Source organism: Homo sapiens, chromosome 11, assembly GCF_000001405.40.
Source record: "Homo sapiens chromosome 11, GRCh38.p14 Primary Assembly".
Lineage (NCBI taxonomy): Eukaryota > Metazoa > Chordata > Mammalia > Primates > Hominidae > Homo > Homo sapiens.
In genome coordinates this window covers 11,962,772-11,981,020 of record NC_000011.10, presented here as the reverse complement: position 1 = coordinate 11,981,020, position 18,249 = coordinate 11,962,772, and the positions used below count along the sequence as shown (strand labels likewise).

Below are 18,249 nucleotides of genomic sequence, written 5' to 3'. Positions count from 1 at the left end.
GCAGTCCCTTGGTCGAAGAAGCTGTGAGTGCTCTGGGTGGAGAAGAGGCCAGTGATTTCAGTGCAGGTCTTGGGGGCTTTAGGGACTGAGGCATTTCCCTCCTTGGGTTGCCTGGAAACACCAGTGACCAACCAGCCATGGGTCGCCTGGACAGGACCACCCCTCAGAGAGAAAAGCCAACTGTGGGCACTTACAGCCCTCCCATCTGAATCTTGCCTTTCCCAGTATGAGTCTTGGCATGTCTTATAACCACCTGTTGGTCCTTGAACCCTGAACTATTCCTCTCTTCATCACTCCAGCCCTGAGTACCCAACTGGGGTGGGTACTCAGGACTGGGGAGCACCCAGGAGAGAGGCGCTAGTTGCCCAGTGGGAGAGTCTGGGAAGGCTTCCTTGAGGAGGAGACATCTGTGCTGCTCCCTAAAGATTGATTGACAGATAAGGGAGGTAAGGGCATTCTAAAAGCATGGGCCAAAAATCTGGGTCCTAGGGAGGTCAGAAAAATCAGGCTGGAAAACAGGTTGGGAGCTGACCAATAAGAGCTCTGTATACCATGCAGTTTGGACTCCAGGTCATGGTTGCTGGAGTAGGTGGAGACAGTCAGTTGTGAGGTAGAATGTGCTCAGGGTGACAGTCTTACAGGAACTCATGACCTTGGTCAGTCTGTGAGAGTCCAGAACCCGTAAGCCCTGCAGATTCAGAGACCGGACCTGCTCAGCAATCTTGCTAACTAAATTCTGACCTCACTAATGTGTAAACCAAAAGCACAGGCTATTAATTTGCAGGGTTGAGGAACATCTCTTTCCATGTGGGGACCCCCATCCGGGATGCTCCCTATGTGGTGTCAGGGTCCTGGGGGGCAAGTTTGGTTTTCTGTAGGTTGCTGGGTGAGTGAGAATTAGAGCCGAGGGAGCTTGAGATTGTTGAAGGGAAGTCATGGGTTCCCGGGTGCCTGGTGTAGTCAGAGCAGAGAGCTGCCACAGAGCTCCAGGCCTCCCTCTCCCCGGGTCACTGGGACACACCTTTTGTTCACTCCCTCTCTCCTTGTCACATTCTTTTATGATGTCAGAATCACAGATGCGGGCTGACTGTTCCCAGGGCCTGGAAGGCAGGCTGTCTCCTCCGATTATGTGTTGACTGAATTTGTGCAACCCTCAGCCTTCTCCAGGGCCCCTCGGCTGGAGCAGCTTTCTGAACAATTATGATCAGGGACGTGCATAATCAAGTTTGTGTTTTAGGCAGATAACTGGAGCTGCAGAAAGGAGTCTGGTGGAGAGGGAGGCAGGCTGGTGGCTGGACGCTGGCCTCCTTGCTGCCACATTGTGCATAGGATGAGGTATGACTTGGTGGGAGCATCTGTGAGGGTAGCAAAGGCCCTTCTCTGCCTGTGAGGAAACCCCAGGACAGTGAGCCCCAAACCACCAGAGTCCCTCCTCACCAACTTCCTGGCCTTAGCAGGAGCTGGGCAGGAATAGAGACTTCTCAGGAGGGTAGAGTTAGGAGTGAAGCCAGCTTCCTTTCTCTCTGGCACTCATCTCCTGGGATCCACATCCGGATTCAGTTCCTGAGAACCTGGTGAGAACTTGGCTACCCGCCTGTGACCGGAAGCATTTCTCCCGGAGTCACATGGGGGACTTCACACTGACCTGGGCTGGCTCTCCTGCTCTGCATCCAGACGCTGTAGGTCCCGCGGGGTTTGCAGCCTGGAGTTTGGAGCAGCTGAAAGGCCTGTGGGCCCTGAGCAGATACAGCAGCAGCTGTCAGGGGGCTGCTCCTGCCAAGGCTTCCCCACCCAGCCTCCATTTCCTGACACAAGGGTAGGACAGTTGGAGCTCCCTGCGGGTTGGGAAACAAAGGCCAAGGCCCCTGAATGGATGGGAAAAGTCAGGCTGGGGAGAGTCTGAGGTTCTCGCTGTTGTGATTCATGCCTTTCCTTGCGTCGGTGAACCTGTTCCCCACCTCTGTAGCTGCTCTTGTTACCGTGGGATACTCAGCCTGGCCATCTTTTTGGATCCCGGACCCCATCTGCTGCCTGACCTAGCAGGAGAGCCAGCTGCTGCTTCACATCCCAGCTCCAGCACTCACTAGCTGTGTGACTTTGGCAAGTTACTCAGCCTTTCTGTGCCTCCATTTCCTCATCTGTAAAATAGAAAGGAATAGTAACAGCCCTCTCTCAGTGGAGTGTTTTGGAGATCATGTGAGTTAATGCTTAGGATGCAGGACAGCTCTGGGAATAATATCTAGGAAGCAATATAAATATCGGCCATTATGGCTATGATTGTTTCATGACAACCCCTGTTATCATACACAATCCAGAGGCTTTTCTCCAAGTACAGAAGCTGCACCTGAGCATGGTTGCTCACACCTATAATCCCATCACTTTGGGAGGCCAAGGTGGGAGGATCACTTGAAGCCAGGAATTCAAGGCCAGCTTGGGCAACATATAGAGAGACCCCATCTCTACAAAAAAAAGTTAAAAACAAAACCAAACAAAACGATAAAAAAAAGAAGAAAGAAGAAAGAAGAAGAAGAAGAGGAAGAAAAAGAAGAAGTGGAGGAAGGAGAGGAAGAAGAAGAGGAAGAGGAAGAAGAAGAGGAAGAGGAAGAAGAAGAGGAAGAGGAAGAAGAAGAAGAAAAGCTGCACATGCTCACAAAGCCCCTGAAGCACAGGCCAGAATCTGGGGTCGTGAGTGGGTACGGGGAGGAAGGGCAGTGCTTCCCAGCCTCCTCCCTGGAGTGGGGTCAGGAGCAGGCACCCTGATGTCCTTGTTGGCTTATCTTCATGGATGTCTTTGAGGCCACCTCTCTTTCTGTGGCCACCAGCCCTTCCTTCTCAACCTTCTCCTGCTCAAGGCCAACCCCACTTTCTCTCTTCCAAGAAATGCACCTGTTGAATCTTCACATTGATCGGATTGGCACATAAAATACAAGACACCCTATAGAATCTAAAATAATTTTTGGTATGAGTGTGTCCCATGTAATAATTGAGGCATACTGTATGAAAATATTATTCATTGTTTATCTGAGATTCAACTATGGCTGGGCATCCTATAATTTTATTTGCTAAATCTGACAAATAAAATTCAGCTAAATTATTTGCTAAATTTGGCTAAATCTCCTTTAATCTGTCCAATAACCTCATGAGGTTCCCCACTTTGAGGCCCCTAAACAAAGAGGTCCCATGCAAGTGGAATAAGGAGCCATGGAGGAGGCAGCGGGTCTGGGAGACCTGGAAGTGCTGCTGGACTTGTCAGTGCATTTGGGCCTGAAATGCCCATCAGCCTCCTGATCTTCTGCATATGGAGTGCTAACTGTGGACTCGGTGTGTCTGGGGAATAGACCCCGGCCAGGCTCAGTGGCTCCACCCACACAGCGTGCCTTTGGATAGGTGGTCGGGGCTGTGGAGACCCTAAGTCCCCGGAGAAGTGTTGGGGGGAGTGGGTAGAGAGGGCTCTCCCAACGGCTGCCAACCCAGGTGGGATGACAGGCACTTGGATGAGTAGAGACAAGCTGCTTCCTTTGGAGTTAAATATGCGTCTAACTTCTCCAGAGGAAATGCCACTCAGGCTGAAAGAATGTTGGGAGGCTCTGTGTGTGGAGGGCTGGCTCTCGGTGGCCTGGCAGCAGGACAAGATTCCTGGAGGAAGGAACAAGCTTTTCCAGGGACCGACAAAGAGAGAAGGCTCCCAGAGGAGCTCTGGAGGTGGGAGCTGTCTGTATATATTGGAAGGAGAAGAGGGAGGATAGGAGGAGAGAGAGAACTCCAGGACTCTTTCCTGATTAAGGAAGGCATGACAGGCACTAAAGGGTTAGGAGCAGTGTTCTCCATACCCTGGGGTGCCAAGCTCTGCTCGGGGGTGCATTTTCCTCTTTCCTGGGCAGTGTGACTTGGGGGAAGAAAATTGGTGGGAGCAGCCCCAGGCGAGCCAGGCCTTTGCAGACATTGGCACTTTAGAATAATAATAGCTGGCACTGATGGGCTCCTGGCTCCTGCCTGGGTTTTTCCACAGGGCAGTCTCTGCAGCGGGTCAGGCTAGAGCCCCTCAGTGAGGTTTGGGGCCCCCACCCCCTGAGCTGGCTGAGAGTTTCCAGTGTAGCATCCAGGAAAGACTGGAGGCGCCCTGCTGCGTTCCAGACAAATGTGCATCTTACAGGCTCCTGCGACTGGCCTGGTTTTAAGGTCAAAAAAGGACTCTCAGGAATGGGGAAAACCTGACTTGGGAATCCTGTAGGATAAAAGGGAAGCTTCCTGCTGCTCTTCCTCAGGGCACTGTTGCTAATCCTCCAGTCACCTTGTGCCAGGGCCAGCCTTGTGGACCCTGCCCTCCTGCAGCAGGCACAGCTGGCAGTGCTCCACCTCCCTGAGAGTTCCAGAGTTCCCTCCTGCCTCACACTGCCACCTCCTGCCCCCTGGCTGGGGCCCCGACCCAGCCCAACCACTCCCAGAGAGAGCTCCACAGAGCACTGGGTTGCAGTTGAGCAGAACTTGGCTTGAGTGTAGCTCTGCCACTTCTGATTTTGGCAAGTGACTTCATTGTACTGTCTCAGTTTCCTCATCTGTCAAATGGGGCTTCTCTTGCTTACTGTGGAAGACAGGATAGTGTGAGGACGAGCTGAGGTGATGGATGCTCAGGGGTCTAGCCCCCAGGGGTGATCGAATTGTGTCTGTTTTTTCTTGTTCCGTGCAGCCTCCTTGTCCTTGTTGGTAGTTGGCCCATCCTGGGCCCTCTCTTGGTTCCATTGCAACTGTCCTCCTTCTTCTTGTCTTCCCCTCCAGAGCAGAGGGCTCTAGGATGAAGCAGGAAGTTGTGCTGTTGGTAATGGGAAGGGCACTGGCTCAAGCCTGATGTTCTGGGCCTTTTCAGTAGAAATGTATTCATTAACAAACAAGACCCATTGGCCCACACTTAAGCTCAGGAGAGGCCATCCTTTGAGCTCCTGCCGTGAGTTAAGCACTGCAAATAGAGATCCACGCTAGGGGTAGAGTGGGTGGAGGCCACTAAGCACTGTTGCATCTGTTATCTCCTTTAATCTGTCCAGTAACTTCATGAGGTTCCCCACTTTACAGATAAGACCCAGAGAGACTCAGTAATTAGGCCAAGATCACCTAGCTTGTAAGTGAACGTGTATTAGAACCGAGGTGTGGGCGCAAAAGCCTGTCTCAGCCCTACATGGCCCCAGATGCACTTGTGCCATATGGTCTTGACTTGTGACCCAGCATTATGGCAAGTGCAGCGACAGAGCCTGTAGAGGGGAGTGTGGGGGCCCAGTGGGGAATGGGGAACTGTGCCTGGACTCTCCCAGTGTTGGCACTGCAAGTCCTGCATCCCAGGATACCCCTAGCCCTGGGTGAACCAGGACCTTGGCCACTTCACCCACACTGCTGACTCTTTACCAGAGGACCACCTCTGCTCAGGAGGGTGCCTGGGCCAAGCTGCCTCCCCACCCGTGGGTTCTGGGAACAGCCCCACATCCAGGAGAGGATTATTTGTTTATCTCACAAATTATACCATCTGTTCATCCTGGGAGCACTCAGGGCCTGGCATGACCACACCACCCCCAGGGTGCCAGGAAATGGTAATCCACAGATAACATGCCCCACCCAAACCTTCAGTGACTAGAATGTGTACGGGGCTGGAGTGCCAGAGCCTGGCTCAGCCAAGAGACGCTGTTCTGGTCCCTGTGGCTCCACATCCTTTGGAATGTACCAGCACCTCCCCACTGACCACCCCTCTGTCACCTTCTAGCAATAAGATGCTGAAGGCTTAGGAACAGAGCTGACTGTGCGTGGAAGATCCGAAACAGAGGAGACTGGGGCTGCTGGCTTGTATCGGGGGAAGGTGCATGTATTAGTTTGCTAGGGCTGCCATCACAAAGTACCCCAAACAGGACGACTTAACAGGAATCTATTCTGTCACGGTTCTGGAGGCTGGAAGTCTGAAATCAAGATGTCAACAGGATTGTTTCCTTCTGAGAGCTGTGAGGGAAGGATGTGTGCTCTTATGAATGTGTGTGTAAATCTGAGCTTTTCTTCCATCAACACCATTAGGCTCTAAGGCTCTATGACCAGTGGTTCATCTACTGGTCAGTTCGTTCTTTCTGTTATTCTTTTTTTTTTCAAGATGGGGTCCACTGTCTGACTCAGGTTGGAGTGCAGTGGTGCGATCTTGGCTCACTGCAACCTCTGCCTCCCAGGCTCAAGCGATCCTCCCACCTCAGCCTCCCAAGTGGCTGGAATCACAGGTGCATGTCACCATGCCCAGCTAACTTTCTGTTATTCTTTTAGTGAATGGCAGCTGCGAGTCAAGCACGTGCTGGGGGAATTAGAGTCAGAGACTGCTCCAGAACTCATGTTGAAATTCAATTTCCATTTTAACAGTATTAAGAGGTGAGACCTTTAAGGGGTATTTAGATCCTGAGGGCTCCACAGTCATAAATGGATTAATGCCATTATTGTGGGAGTTGGTTTCTTATAAAAGGGCAAGTTTGGTCCCCTTTTCTCTTGCCCTTTCTTGTGGCCCTTTCACTTTCTGCCAGGGGATGATGTAGCAAGAAGGCCCTCACCAGATGCTGGCTCCTCAATCTTGGACTTGCCAGCCTGCAGAACCATGAGCCAATAAATTTCTGTTCATTATAAATTACCCAGTCTCAGGTATTCTGCTATAGCAGCAAAAATGGACTAAGATGGTGACTGACCTCAAAGGGTGGCTGTGAGGATCCGAGAGGCATACTATACTTAAAGCCTGAAGGATGTGCAGGCAACTGGTTGGCGCTTTCTAAACTTCACTCTTGTCCTCTCCTCCTGCACAGTGTGCAGAGCTCTGAGGACAAGTGCATCCTATTGGTGGAGGTCCTGGGCCTCCATTCTGCATGCAGTTGACCCTCACTTCTTGCCCTGAAGATGTTCTCTCCAGAGCCATGGGCTTGAGAGGAGCTTGGGGAAGGCCCTGGCCCTGGAGGCATCCATCCCCAGCAGCCTCTTCCTTTGGGCCTCCGGTGAACAAGAATGTCTGGGATTCCTGAGAAGTGTGGGAAATCCAAGTGCCCAGCCAGTATGAGGAATGAGATGCAGCATCAGAAGGGTCCCAAAGAAGCGGTGCCTCTGCGGGCCCCACACAGACTCTGGGAAAGCCTCCAGGGACTCATTGTTGTCCTCTCCCTCCTCCAAGTTTTGACTTCTGCTCACTCAGAGCCTCTCTCCTCTGATCAACTCTAAACTGGAAAATCAAAGACTCTGAATGGCTCCTTTGCCATTTTCCACTATTTCATGATAGTGTCAAAGCACCGGGGCTGCTTCCAGCCTGACATTCCTGCCAAATCTATGCTGTGTTCCCGGTCAGCCCTCGCTCCCGCCAGCTTCTGAGCTTTCTAAATATAGTTCCCTCCTCGGGACAACAAAGAAGCCATCCTCTGAATGACTGCATTCCCCATGGCCAGCTTCTGGGCTGTTTGTCAGATTCCCCCAGCAGGATGGGAGGGAGGAGTGGGGGCAAACAGGAGTGGCCAGGACTGGAGAGGAGCTGCTGAAGTCCATGCAGCAGGGTGCTGTCTTCCAGCCATATGACATTTGGGCCCAGACGCTCAGTGGCTATGGCCTTGACCGTGAGTTCCTGCCTTCTGTCTCTGGGGATGCATGGGGCCCAGAGCCCTGTCCCGGGCAGGTGCTACTAAGTTGTGACTGAAGAAGAGGAGAGAGAAATGGTGATCTCCCCAGCAGGAAATGAAAAGTGTCTGTCGGCTCCAGTCCAGTCAAGCTGGGTGACCTCTGGGCAGATTCTATCCTTAAGTCTCAGTTTCCACATCTGTGAAGTAGGGATAAGGACTATGTCAAGGAGACTAGAGAGAAATTGTGCCAGGTGGCGGGCACTAGTGGTCCTATCTGGCCAGGGCTCTGTGCCTGCATGTGATGGATTGCAGGCATAGCCTTTGAAGTGCTTTTTGATGTGCCTTTCACTTCAGGATGGAGTCCCTCTTCTGGTCCCAGGGCTAAGAGGTAGATAGAGGCCCTGCAAGGTACTCATTCCTTACTAAAACAAGACCCCAAGCCCAGAGCCCCTGCCTTCCCTCCCAGGCCTCTTATTTCTGATCTCAGCTTCTCAGCCATCCAGAGCCCAGTTGGGTGCTGAGGCCCCTTTAAAAAGCCCAGAGCCCCCGCCTTCCCTCCCAGGCCTCTTATTTCTGATTTCAGCTTCTCAGCCATCCAGAGCCCAGTTGGGTGCTGAGGCCCCTTTAACACCTTGGCTCAAATGTGGACAGAACCCTTGAGCACAGCTAAGAGCAATTAGAATTATGGAAAAGAAAAAAACCTGGATTTCTCAGCTCAGGGCCTGTCTGTGCTTGGAGGGCACTGACACATGTCCTCTCCACCCACCCACTCAGTTCTACTAAGGGTAGAGGGCCTGACCTCTTCCTCAGGTCTAACAAACACTGGGAAAGGTGAGGCCAGCCCCTACTGCTAGCGGTCTTCAGGAGAGACTCAATACAAACAGCTTTACTGGATGGAGAGCCTGGCCTTTGTACAACAAAAGGTCACTCTGCCCCAGGACTTGCCTGGGGTGGACATACAGGCCACTTCCCACCTGTTTGACACCCTCAGGATGTAGATAAGTCAGGACTAGATGTTTGATCCCCGAGTGCTGACCAGGACAGAGATGTCAAGCTTTGGTGGATGCCTTAAGGCCCTGTTGATTTAGACCTTCCTTTCTGCTCACAGACTGGCCCCCTGGCAGGGGTGCACCATAGCGGGATCAGGCATTGGATGTGTGGAGGAGCAGATGCATAGCTATCTGTTGCTATGGCCACCGTTCACCAAGCATGAACTCTGTACAACAGCCCTGCAAAACAGCTCCTGCCTTCATCTTTGTTTTTAATAGAGGTAGAGTCAGCAGCCCAAGGTTTCACAGCTGTTAAGTGGCAAAACTAGGATTCAGTTTGTGCACCTTGGAGTCCGGAAGTCTCTAGTATGACCACAATTCTTAAAGAGTGTGTTCCTGCTGGGAATGGCAGTTGCACATCCAACTAGACAAGCTGGTGGGCTCGATTATAACAAAAGCCTCAAGCTTTCTTGAGGGGAGTCATGTGGAACTAACCTACCAGCACTCCTTGCTGATACCCCAAAGGAAACCAGTAGCTTTGGTATATTTAGGTTTTTCAAAGGTTTTTGGCAAAGTTCCATGCCAAAATTTTTTTTCCGTACCTAGAAAAACAATTAAGTTTGAAGGGAATATGCTTTGTCATGCATAGGAGCCTGTTTAGGGAAAGGAAGATATTCCTAAGGATGAAAATGCACCCGTCTTGATGGATAATTGTAAACAGCAGGGTCTTATAGGAATTGATGCTAGAAGAATCTTAGCTCATATTTTTAATTAAAGATCTGGGAGAGGAAATGTATAGTGAAAATCGCAAGTCTACGAAGGCCTTTCGGGGGAATGAGAAGCCAAATTAATGGAATGTATGTTTTTTGCTCTAGTTCTCAAACCATTGCTAATGATCTGCATTTTGTTGGCCTGTTTGCCACAGTAAGATGCAAGTGCTTTCACCCACTCAACACATATTTATTGTGCGCCCATGATGTTCCAGCCACAGTACTGGGCACAGGCATGAGTGTGGTATTATTCTGCTTTACAGAAGGGCTTTACAAAAGCTTATGGTTTCAAAATTTCCCTGCTTTTGTTTATGGTTCTAACCCTTGCTTGTTTTAGAAATCATTATGCAAAGAACAACTGCATTCTTTTTAATGTCTGCATGGAGGGATTTTTCTGTGAAATGACTGTACAATAATCAGTTCCCTCTGGTTGGACATTTTTGTTATTTCTGGATTATAAATAATATAACGATATAGCCTTAAACACACTTGTTCTCAGATATTTACATATATGGACAAGTGTTTCTGAGGGTAGTCACCAGGAAGGGAAATGATTGGGTCAAAGGACATATACATTTAACTATTTGATAGATGCTGATGGATTGCCTGCAAAAAAAAAAAAAAAAAATCTTCAATTTTAATTACCCCAAAGCATTTGGCAATGCCTATTTCCTGAAACTAACATTGAATATTTTATTAGTTTCCTATTGATGCTGTAACAAATTACCACACATTTACTGGATTAAAACAACACAAATTTACTGTTTTCCAGTTCTGGAGGTCAGAAGTCCAACACAAGTCCCACTGGGCTAAAAGCAAAGAGTGGGCAGGGCTGCATTCCTCTCTGGAGGCTCTAAGAGAGATTCTGCTCCTTGGCCCCTGGCCCCCCTTCCATCTACAAAGCCAGGGATGGCCAATGGAGTGTCTGTGACACCTGGCATGATATCACTCTGACACTGTCTCTTCCTCTATTCCCTTTTCCATTTTTAAAGTCCCTTGTGATTCCGTCAGGTAGGTGCTCCTGGATAATCCAGAGTGCGCTCCCTACCTTCAGGTCAGCTGATTAGCAACCTGCATTCCCTCTGCCTCTAATTTCCCCTTCCTATGTAATATAACATACCCACAGGTTCCGGGGAATAGGATGTGAACATCTTTGGGGGTGCTGTTATTCCACCCACCATGGAGACATTCAACCTTTCTAATTTCTTCCATTCTAAGTGAAAAAAATGGTGTTATGCTCTTTTAAGTTGCATTTCTTGATTGATTTCATTGGTGAGGTTGAACGCCTTTCTATTTGAAGAGGCAAATTTCTGTTATTCTAAGTTGTCCGTTCATACCCTTTGTCTCCTTTGCCACTGGGTTGCTCTTTCTCTCTCTCTTTTTCCAATTGAATTACGAATTTCTTAAGGGCAGAGGCCTCCTCACATTCACCTTTGTGTCCCCAGTCCCTCAAAATATGGCTGGTTCAGAGAAGGGATTCTGTGCCTGTTGGCCCTTCCTTTCTCCCAAATGTCGTCCCTCCCACTCCATTTTCTTGCCATTCTGCTTTGGAAAGAACGTCGGGAGGCTTCCGGCTGAGCAGCCTGAGTTGTGTCTGTGCACAAGAGCGTGTGCTGGGCTGAGACAAAGCGCGTCTGTGATTTGTTCCCAGCCCTGTTGGGACTTCTCTGGCCGCTGGGGCTCTGGCTCAGACTCAGTCCCTTCACTTGGGCGGCCGTTCACCCTACTCGGAGCCTCGGTTTTCTTATCCGTAAAAACAGCGATGGTATCATGCCTGACATTTAAGGGGTGCTGGGAAAGTAACTGAAACAAAAGCATCAATGCTTGGCAAGGGAGCACCCTGGTTGCTGGGCCGCCAGCACTTGCAGTGTTGATCAGAGCAGCAGAGCCCCTGGAAGGGGACTGGAGGCAGCTGCCGGAGGTCCAGGCCTGCCCGGCCAGGCTCTTCCAGGTGGGGCTCCACACCTGCATTCAGGATGGGGAGGATGCTCTGGGTCAGAGGGGAGAGCCGGTCCTTCCCTTCCTCAAGACCCTTCCAGAAGGTCTGCTGGGCCCCAGAATACCAGGCCTCAGGAGGGTCCTTCTCACCACTGGCTGCTACATGTGGAGCCCTGAACCCCCTTGGCTCAAGGGCTGGTGGTGGAAAGAGACCCTCCACCCTGAACTAGTCACATTATCTTGGAGGGACCTCTCTGCCTCCATTTCCCGGCTGGCAATATAGAGAAGGCAGTCCCTACCTGCCTCCTGCTGGGAGGAGTCACTGAACAAGATCAGGGCCGTCAAGCCTGATACCTCAAAAGGGCGATCAATGGCCATTCCTGTCATCATGTTCCCTCCTCCCCTGCCCTCCTTCCCCTGCTGTAAAGCTGCCGGTTCGTAGGCCTGAGCCTGACAGCAGGTCCAGGAGCTGAAGCAGCCCTGCTTCTGCCAGTGACCGGCGACCATGGCAGGTCACAGTGCCCTCGGCCATGGCTCCCTGTTCTGTGACTCAGGCCTTGGGGTGGACAGATTCCCCTCACTCCTTCTCTCCCTGTTTCTCCAGCCAGGCAGAGCTGGCAGCCATGAGGAGACAGCACCTGGGCTGGGAGGGCTGGAGTCCAGCCACCCTCCTCTAATTCATTTCCAAGCTGGCAGCTGCCTTTCCCTCTTGCAGGGACCCTAGACCCAGGACCCTGAGGGCGCTCTCTGTGGGCAGGGCTGTGGCTTTCTGGCAGGGTCCCTAGCGATGCCCCCTCTGCTGCCTCCCAGTCTTCACAGTCAGCAGAGCCCTTGGGGCCTGTCTTCCAGCCTTTCCTGTGCAGTCGGGCGGGCCTGGACCTCATTAGCACTTTTTATTAAATCCATATGTTCTGTGTGGAAGACCAGCCCTGAGTCCCTGTGCTCCCGCCCTGGGTGTGGGTGGGGGAGAACTGTGCACAGATGGCGATTGTGTGAATTTGGTGTGGGATCCTCCAGGCTCTGGGCTGCCAAGCCTCCTAGGCATGGAGATGCTGAAGGGCAGTGCAGCCAGGCAGGGATCAGGAGCGACTAGAGTCTGGAGGCCTTTCCTGACCCTGCTGAGCCTGTGGGGTCAAGAATGGGGAATGGAAGCGGGCCTGGCCCTTCCTGGGCACTGTGGGCCTGCTGCTCTGCTCTCCATTGACACATCTGCTCCCTGTGCCCTTCCCCAGGAGTGCATCATCGACGAGGACTGTGGGCCCAGCATGTACTGCCAGTTTGCCAGCTTCCAGTACACCTGCCAGCCATGCCGGGGCCAGAGGATGGTGAGTATGCCAGGGCCTCTGGGGCTGTGGCACCAGGGTCTCAGGCACCTGGGGGAGAAAGCCAGGGGCCCCAGCGTTCTCAGCTGGGCTTCCCAGAAGAGCCTCACCATGATGGGGAGGACCCAAGAGGGCTCCCCAGAGGGCTGACTCCTGGAGGACAAGGAACTCATTCCAGTTTGGGATGACAGGAAGCCATCTGCAGACCCAGGGCCACTCCCATCCACCCCATGTCCTCTGGTCATGTTGTTTGTGTCATTGATGGTAGAGAAGGGGAGGGACGGCCAGGCACCGTGGCTACACCTGTAATCCCAGCACTTTGGGGAGACCAAGGCAGAAGGATCTATTGAGGCCGGGAGTTCGAGAAGGGGAGGGAAGGGAGAGGAGGTGTCCCTACACCTGTTGCTTCCCCTGGGGATGACCCATCCTAATAGACAAACAGAGACATTCCGGCAGCCCCCAGGCAGGGAGAGCGGCAGCTGCTCTCCTTCTGGACCTGCACCCCACCCACCAGATCTTTCTCCAATCTGCCAATAAGAGAGGGCAGAGGGACAGGGCAAGAAGAGGCCAGGGCACTGCCCCAGTGCAGGTTAGATTGGGAAATGTGGAGCCAGGGCAAAGGAGACTCTTCACCCAACAGGCATTTTGGACGAAGCCACATGGACTCACAGACTTTTCATAGTCATTTTTCCTTATTCAGACAATAACACAGCATGCTAATAAGCTTGGAAAGTCAAGCAGTTCTTATTACCTTACCCGACTGTCTGTGGTGAGGCCACTGCTGTTGCACCTCGCAGCCAACCCCACTCGGTACCGTCACTGGGCACAGCCGTGGGGACCTCACTTTGCTCTCTAACTGCCATGCCCTGTGTGGCTGCAGGACCCTGGCACCCACAGGCCATCCTCATCTTGGGCTGGCTTGGGCCTTAGTTTAATCGGCTCATCATTGGGCCTTGCCTCTTTGGGCCTGGACCTAGGGACCTAAGGAAAAAGGGAACAGCACAAGTCTGTGGGGACCACAAAGACCCCCTGCTGTTCTTTGCAAAATCTTAAGCTGTGGAGAAAGACTCAGATCCATGAGTCCTCCCGGTGCCATTTTTCCAGCGTTCTGACCCCCATGTCTCGCCAGCCAAGCTCCCACCTCTGTCCCACTGACTTTCACTGAAATCTCAGCCTGGTCTGCCTGTCTCTACAATGGGAGGATGCAGGTTGGCCTATCTGTGGTATCTTCAGGCTGGGCTCTCAGCAGGCCCCCAGTCCCTAAGCCGCTGGCTCTAGGCTCTTTCCACCTGTCTGCAGCTCTGCACCCGGGACAGTGAGTGCTGTGGAGACCAGCTGTGTGTCTGGGGTCACTGCACCAAAATGGCCACCAGGGGCAGCAATGGGACCATCTGTGACAACCAGAGGGACTGCCAGCCGGGGCTGTGCTGTGCCTTCCAGAGAGGTGAGTGGCCTCCCCTCAGATGCAGGAAAAACCCTGTCCCAAGCTCCACCACACTGGACCTCCTGGAGCCACGTCCATGCCAACCACATGGTTTCGCGTCCCACCTCTTGGATAGGCTCCCAAATGCTCATCAGTGTGTGCTGCACTCCCACAGCCTCTGCCCGGAGTGGGAAGACCACCTCTTTTTTTTCCCCTGTTGATGCTCAGAAAAGTTAAATGACTTCAGGATGCAAAAGCCCAGTCTGGAATGGGGTGGGACTAGCAGCCCCCTCCCTCCCACCACTCCTTATTTCCCAGGTTCCTCTACCTGTGAATCACCCGCTTCCACTCCCATCTTCCGTCCTGCCTCTCCCAGGTGAGGTCTGCTCAGGCTCTCTCCGCCCCCACTAGGGTTTTGAAAAATTCTCATTTGCCGCCTCCCCAGCTCTGCATCCCCAGCCCACTAGTCCTCCCTGTACCTGCCGCCTCCGTGATCTTCCTAAAGGGCTGCTTTTTGGGTGTTGCTCCCCTGGGACCTGCAGCAGCTCCTGTTGTCTCCCACGATGTTCAGACTCCTTAGGCTGTCTTGTGAGGCCTCATGCAGCTCCAACTTACTTGCCCTCCTTTTCTCTCCACTACTTCTTGGCCTATTTGGGAATTTCACCGGCCCTGACATTTTCCACTGAGCTCAACCCCAGGCCTTTGCTGGTGCTGTCCCTGTGCCTGAATGCCTTTGCCTCCCTCTTAATTTCTCCAGACTTTCTGGCCCTCAAAATCCAGCAGAAGCCCACCTCTTCCAGGCAGTCCTCCCTGCTTCAGCCCTACCAATCATTCCCTCCTGAGCCCAGGCTGCTATTCTTGTTTCCTGTCATTCCGTATCTTCAAAACTAGCCTGCACTTTGGGGTTGAGGGTGGGAGGTGGGAGGTTATGCTCCATTTCTTTGCCCCTCCCTTTGGAGCCCTTCTACCCTACACGGGGCACACAGGGGTGACTCTGGGCTGGTTCCAGGCCTGCTGTTCCCTGTGTGCACACCCCTGCCCGTGGAGGGCGAGCTTTGCCATGACCCCGCCAGCCGGCTTCTGGACCTCATCACCTGGGAGCTAGAGCCTGATGGAGCCTTGGACCGATGCCCTTGTGCCAGTGGCCTCCTCTGCCAGCCCCACAGGTGAGGCCCCCTAACCCTCACTCTCAGGGAGCCAAGGGCTGAGGAGGTGCCATCCAGCAGGGGCGTAGGAGCAGGAGCAGGTTTTCCCTGGGGGAGGTGTAGATTCCCTTTAGGATTGGTTTGAGAGGTCGTTGGGTCATGCAGATGGAAGGGTCCAATCAGCAGTCGGTTCTAGGGGTCTGGAGCCCAGGCTGCCCAGGAGGCACAGATCTGGGGCTCATCTAGCTGGTGGCTGAAGCTTCATGAGTGGATGGTCCATGGAGAGGACATGGAGGGAGAAAAGCCTGGGCTCCCTCCCCAGACCTGTCACAATGACAGATAAGCAGAGAAAAAGGAGCTGGCAGAGAGGCCACGGGGAGGCCAGGAGTGGCCACCAAGGTGGAGGGTGCAGCCCACACTGTCTGAGGCTGCTGAGACTCCATGAGGCATGAGGCTCAAGCCTGGCCAGCTTCTCAGGGCACATCTCCCTGTCCTCCCCGCAGCCTCTACTCAGTCTTCTCTCCCAACAGAATCCAGGGCTGCTGGGCAGACAGGCAGAACTCCCATTCCCCACGGCTCTGTGCAGTGGCTCACACCTGTAATCCCAGAGCTTTGGGAGGCCAATGCAGGAGGATTGCTTGAGGCCAAGAGTTCAAGACCAGCCTGGGCAACATAGGGAGATCCCGTCTCTACCAAACACATTAATTTTTTTTAAAAAAAGGAATTCTTCCTCCCTATTCCCACAGAGGTCCATGGCTCCCTGCATGTGGCTAGACTACACCCCAGAGTCAGGCTGACTCCTGCCTGGAGGCCCGAATGGGCCACAGTCTTTGAGGGGCTGTGGTGCTGCTACATAGCACTCAGGTCCTGCCCCTGGGCTGCGGGGCCTGAGAGTCACAGGAGGTCAGGCCTGCGCTGGAGGAGGGGAAGCTGCCCCCCACCAGCACATTCTCCCAAAGTGAGCCTCCCTCAGCCATCATTTTAAGATAGATGTTGACGGGAAGTGAAGTGTCTCTGTTGAAGAGACAGGAGAGGAGGGGGCATGAAGGTGAGGCTGGGAGCCCCACAGAGTCAGGGCGCCTTAGCTTTCGGCCTGGGCAGGCTCCCACGTTTAGAGCCTGGCTTTGTCCCATCTCTCCCCAGCCACAGCCTGGTGTATGTGTGCAAGCCGACCTTCGTGGGGAGCCGTGACCAAGATGGGGAGATCCTGCTGCCCAGAGAGGTCCCCGATGAGTATGAAGTTGGCAGCTTCATGGAGGAGGTGCGCCAGGAGCTGGAGGACCTGGAGAGGAGCCTGACTGAAGAGATGGCGCTGAGGGAGCCTGCGGCTGCCGCCGCTGCACTGCTGGGAGGGGAAGAGATTTAGATCTGGACCAGGCTGTGGGTAGATGTGCAATAGAAATAGCTAATTTATTTCCCCAGGTGTGTGCTTTAGGCGTGGGCTGACCAGGCTTCTTCCTACATCTTCTTCCCAGTAAGTTTCCCCTCTGGCTTGACAGCATGAGGTGTTGTGCATTTGTTCAGCTCCCCCAGGCTGTTCTCCAGGCTTCACAGTCTGGTGCTTGGGAGAGTCAGGCAGGGTTAAACTGCAGGAGCAGTTTGCCACCCCTGTCCAGATTATTGGCTGCTTTGCCTCTACCAGTTGGCAGACAGCCGTTTGTTCTACATGGCTTTGATAATTGTTTGAGGGGAGGAGATGGAAACAATGTGGAGTCTCCCTCTGATTGGTTTTGGGGAAATGTGGAGAAGAGTGCCCTGCTTTGCAAACATCAACCTGGCAAAAATGCAACAAATGAATTTTCCACGCAGTTCTTTCCATGGGCATAGGTAAGCTGTGCCTTCAGCTGTTGCAGATGAAATGTTCTGTTCACCCTGCATTACATGTGTTTATTCATCCAGCAGTGTTGCTCAGCTCCTACCTCTGTGCCAGGGCAGCATTTTCATATCCAAGATCAATTCCCTCTCTCAGCACAGCCTGGGGAGGGGGTCATTGTTCTCCTCGTCCATCAGGGATCTCAGAGGCTCAGAGACTGCAAGCTGCTTGCCCAAGTCACACAGCTAGTGAAGACCAGAGCAGTTTCATCTGGTTGTGACTCTAAGCTCAGTGCTCTCTCCACTACCCCACACCAGCCTTGGTGCCACCAAAAGTGCTCCCCAAAAGGAAGGAGAATGGGATTTTTCTTTTGAGGCATGCACATCTGGAATTAAGGTCAAACTAATTCTCACATCCCTCTAAAAGTAAACTACTGTTAGGAACAGCAGTGTTCTCACAGTGTGGGGCAGCCGTCCTTCTAATGAAGACAATGATATTGACACTGTCCCTCTTTGGCAGTTGCATTAGTAACTTTGAAAGGTATATGACTGAGCGTAGCATACAGGTTAACCTGCAGAAACAGTACTTAGGTAATTGTAGGGCGAGGATTATAAATGAAATTTGCAAAATCACTTAGCAGCAACTGAAGACAATTATCAACCACGTGGAGAAAATCAAACCGAGCAGGGCTGTGTGAAACATGGTTGTAATATGCGACTGCGAACACTGAACTCTACGCCACTCCACAAATGATGTTTTCAGGTGTCATGGACTGTTGCCACCATGTATTCATCCAGAGTTCTTAAAGTTTAAAGTTGCACATGATTGTATAAGCATGCTTTCTTTGAGTTTTAAATTATGTATAAACATAAGTTGCATTTAGAAATCAAGCATAAATCACTTCAACTGCTCTTCTGTAGTTCTTGGATTTCTTTTCCCTTTTGACTTTGAATAAATGTAAAATCCTTTCAGCCAGAAAAAGTAAAATAGAAACAACCTGTATTAAAAATCTTCCATAGAAGCAAATTTGCCACCCAACTGAAGCACACCTCTTTCAGCATCAAAATATTTTAGAAATCTTAACTATTTTTGGATGGGAATTTGTCTTAAAGAGTGTAAATGCTTCACGGCCTTCTGAAAGGACAAATGGAATATGTATGACTCTTTTTTTAGGGGAGCCTTCTTTAATCAAATGCAGTTCTGGGCCATAAGACAGTAAGATCCTCAAGGACCATAATATTAGAG

At 52.1% G+C, this 18,249-nt stretch overlaps 1 protein-coding gene across 8 annotated transcripts in view, besides 8 other annotated features; it reads left to right on the top strand.

Annotated features, from left to right (window-relative positions):
* The window catches only part of DKK3 (dickkopf Wnt signaling pathway inhibitor 3), a 46,710-nt gene extending 28,725 nt beyond the window's left edge, over nucleotides 1–17,985 (top strand). For 5 of the 8 annotated variants that reach the window (XM_047426775.1, NM_013253.5, XM_006718178.3 and 2 more), the window contains 4 exons: nucleotides 12,534–12,626; nucleotides 13,923–14,067; nucleotides 15,056–15,212; nucleotides 16,335–17,985. In XM_047426775.1, coding sequence (XP_047282731.1) covers nucleotides 12,534–12,626; nucleotides 13,923–14,067; nucleotides 15,056–15,212; nucleotides 16,335–16,557 — 618 coding nt within the window. In that variant the 3' untranslated portion in view covers nucleotides 16,558–17,985. Of the gene's footprint in view, nucleotides 1–12,533; nucleotides 12,627–13,922; nucleotides 14,068–15,055; nucleotides 15,213–16,292 lie in introns of all 8 variants that reach the window. The other 3 variants (XM_047426774.1, NM_001330220.3, XM_017017555.2) reach the window with 1 other exon arrangement.
* Nucleotides 3,486–4,047: an enhancer, noted in NCBI's record as "H3K27ac-H3K4me1 hESC enhancer chr11:11998521-11999082 (GRCh37/hg19 assembly coordinates)". NCBI's record gives its function as "activates a minimal SCP1, AML or CMV promoter by ChIP-STARR-seq in naive H9 embryonic stem cells {active_cell/tissue: H9 hESC(naive)}" and the evidence as "EXISTENCE:reporter gene assay evidence [ECO:0000049][PMID:30033119]".
* Nucleotides 3,646–3,815: an enhancer, noted in NCBI's record as "experimental_19383 CRE fragment used in MPRA reporter constructs". NCBI's record gives its function as "activates a minimal promoter by MPRAs in K562 erythroleukemia cells, with activity observed for the non-introgressed 11:11998838 variant allele {active_cell/tissue: K562}" and the evidence as "EXISTENCE:reporter gene assay evidence [ECO:0000049][PMID:34662402]".
* Nucleotides 4,048–4,609: an enhancer, noted in NCBI's record as "H3K27ac-H3K4me1 hESC enhancer chr11:11997959-11998520 (GRCh37/hg19 assembly coordinates)". NCBI's record gives its function as "activates a minimal SCP1, AML or CMV promoter by ChIP-STARR-seq in naive H9 embryonic stem cells {active_cell/tissue: H9 hESC(naive)}" and the evidence as "EXISTENCE:reporter gene assay evidence [ECO:0000049][PMID:30033119]".
* Nucleotides 10,660–11,283: an enhancer, noted in NCBI's record as "H3K4me1 hESC enhancer chr11:11991285-11991908 (GRCh37/hg19 assembly coordinates)". NCBI's record gives its function as "activates a minimal SCP1, AML or CMV promoter by ChIP-STARR-seq in naive H9 embryonic stem cells {active_cell/tissue: H9 hESC(naive)}" and the evidence as "EXISTENCE:reporter gene assay evidence [ECO:0000049][PMID:30033119]".
* Nucleotides 11,284–11,907: an enhancer, noted in NCBI's record as "H3K27ac-H3K4me1 hESC enhancer chr11:11990661-11991284 (GRCh37/hg19 assembly coordinates)". NCBI's record gives its function as "activates a minimal SCP1, AML or CMV promoter by ChIP-STARR-seq in naive H9 embryonic stem cells {active_cell/tissue: H9 hESC(naive)}" and the evidence as "EXISTENCE:reporter gene assay evidence [ECO:0000049][PMID:30033119]".
* Nucleotides 11,908–12,531: an enhancer, noted in NCBI's record as "H3K27ac-H3K4me1 hESC enhancer chr11:11990037-11990660 (GRCh37/hg19 assembly coordinates)". NCBI's record gives its function as "activates a minimal SCP1, AML or CMV promoter by ChIP-STARR-seq in naive H9 embryonic stem cells {active_cell/tissue: H9 hESC(naive)}" and the evidence as "EXISTENCE:reporter gene assay evidence [ECO:0000049][PMID:30033119]".
* Nucleotides 12,532–13,156: an enhancer, noted in NCBI's record as "H3K27ac-H3K4me1 hESC enhancer chr11:11989412-11990036 (GRCh37/hg19 assembly coordinates)". NCBI's record gives its function as "activates a minimal SCP1, AML or CMV promoter by ChIP-STARR-seq in primed H9 embryonic stem cells {active_cell/tissue: H9 hESC(primed)}" and the evidence as "EXISTENCE:reporter gene assay evidence [ECO:0000049][PMID:30033119]".
* Nucleotides 13,999–14,048: a silencer, noted in NCBI's record as "silent region_3160". NCBI's record gives its function as "represses an Ori minimal core promoter by ATAC-STARR-seq in GM12878 lymphoblastoid cells {active_cell/tissue: GM12878}" and the evidence as "EXISTENCE:reporter gene assay evidence [ECO:0000049][PMID:35858748]".
* Nucleotides 17,986–18,249: the final 264 nt, after the last annotated feature.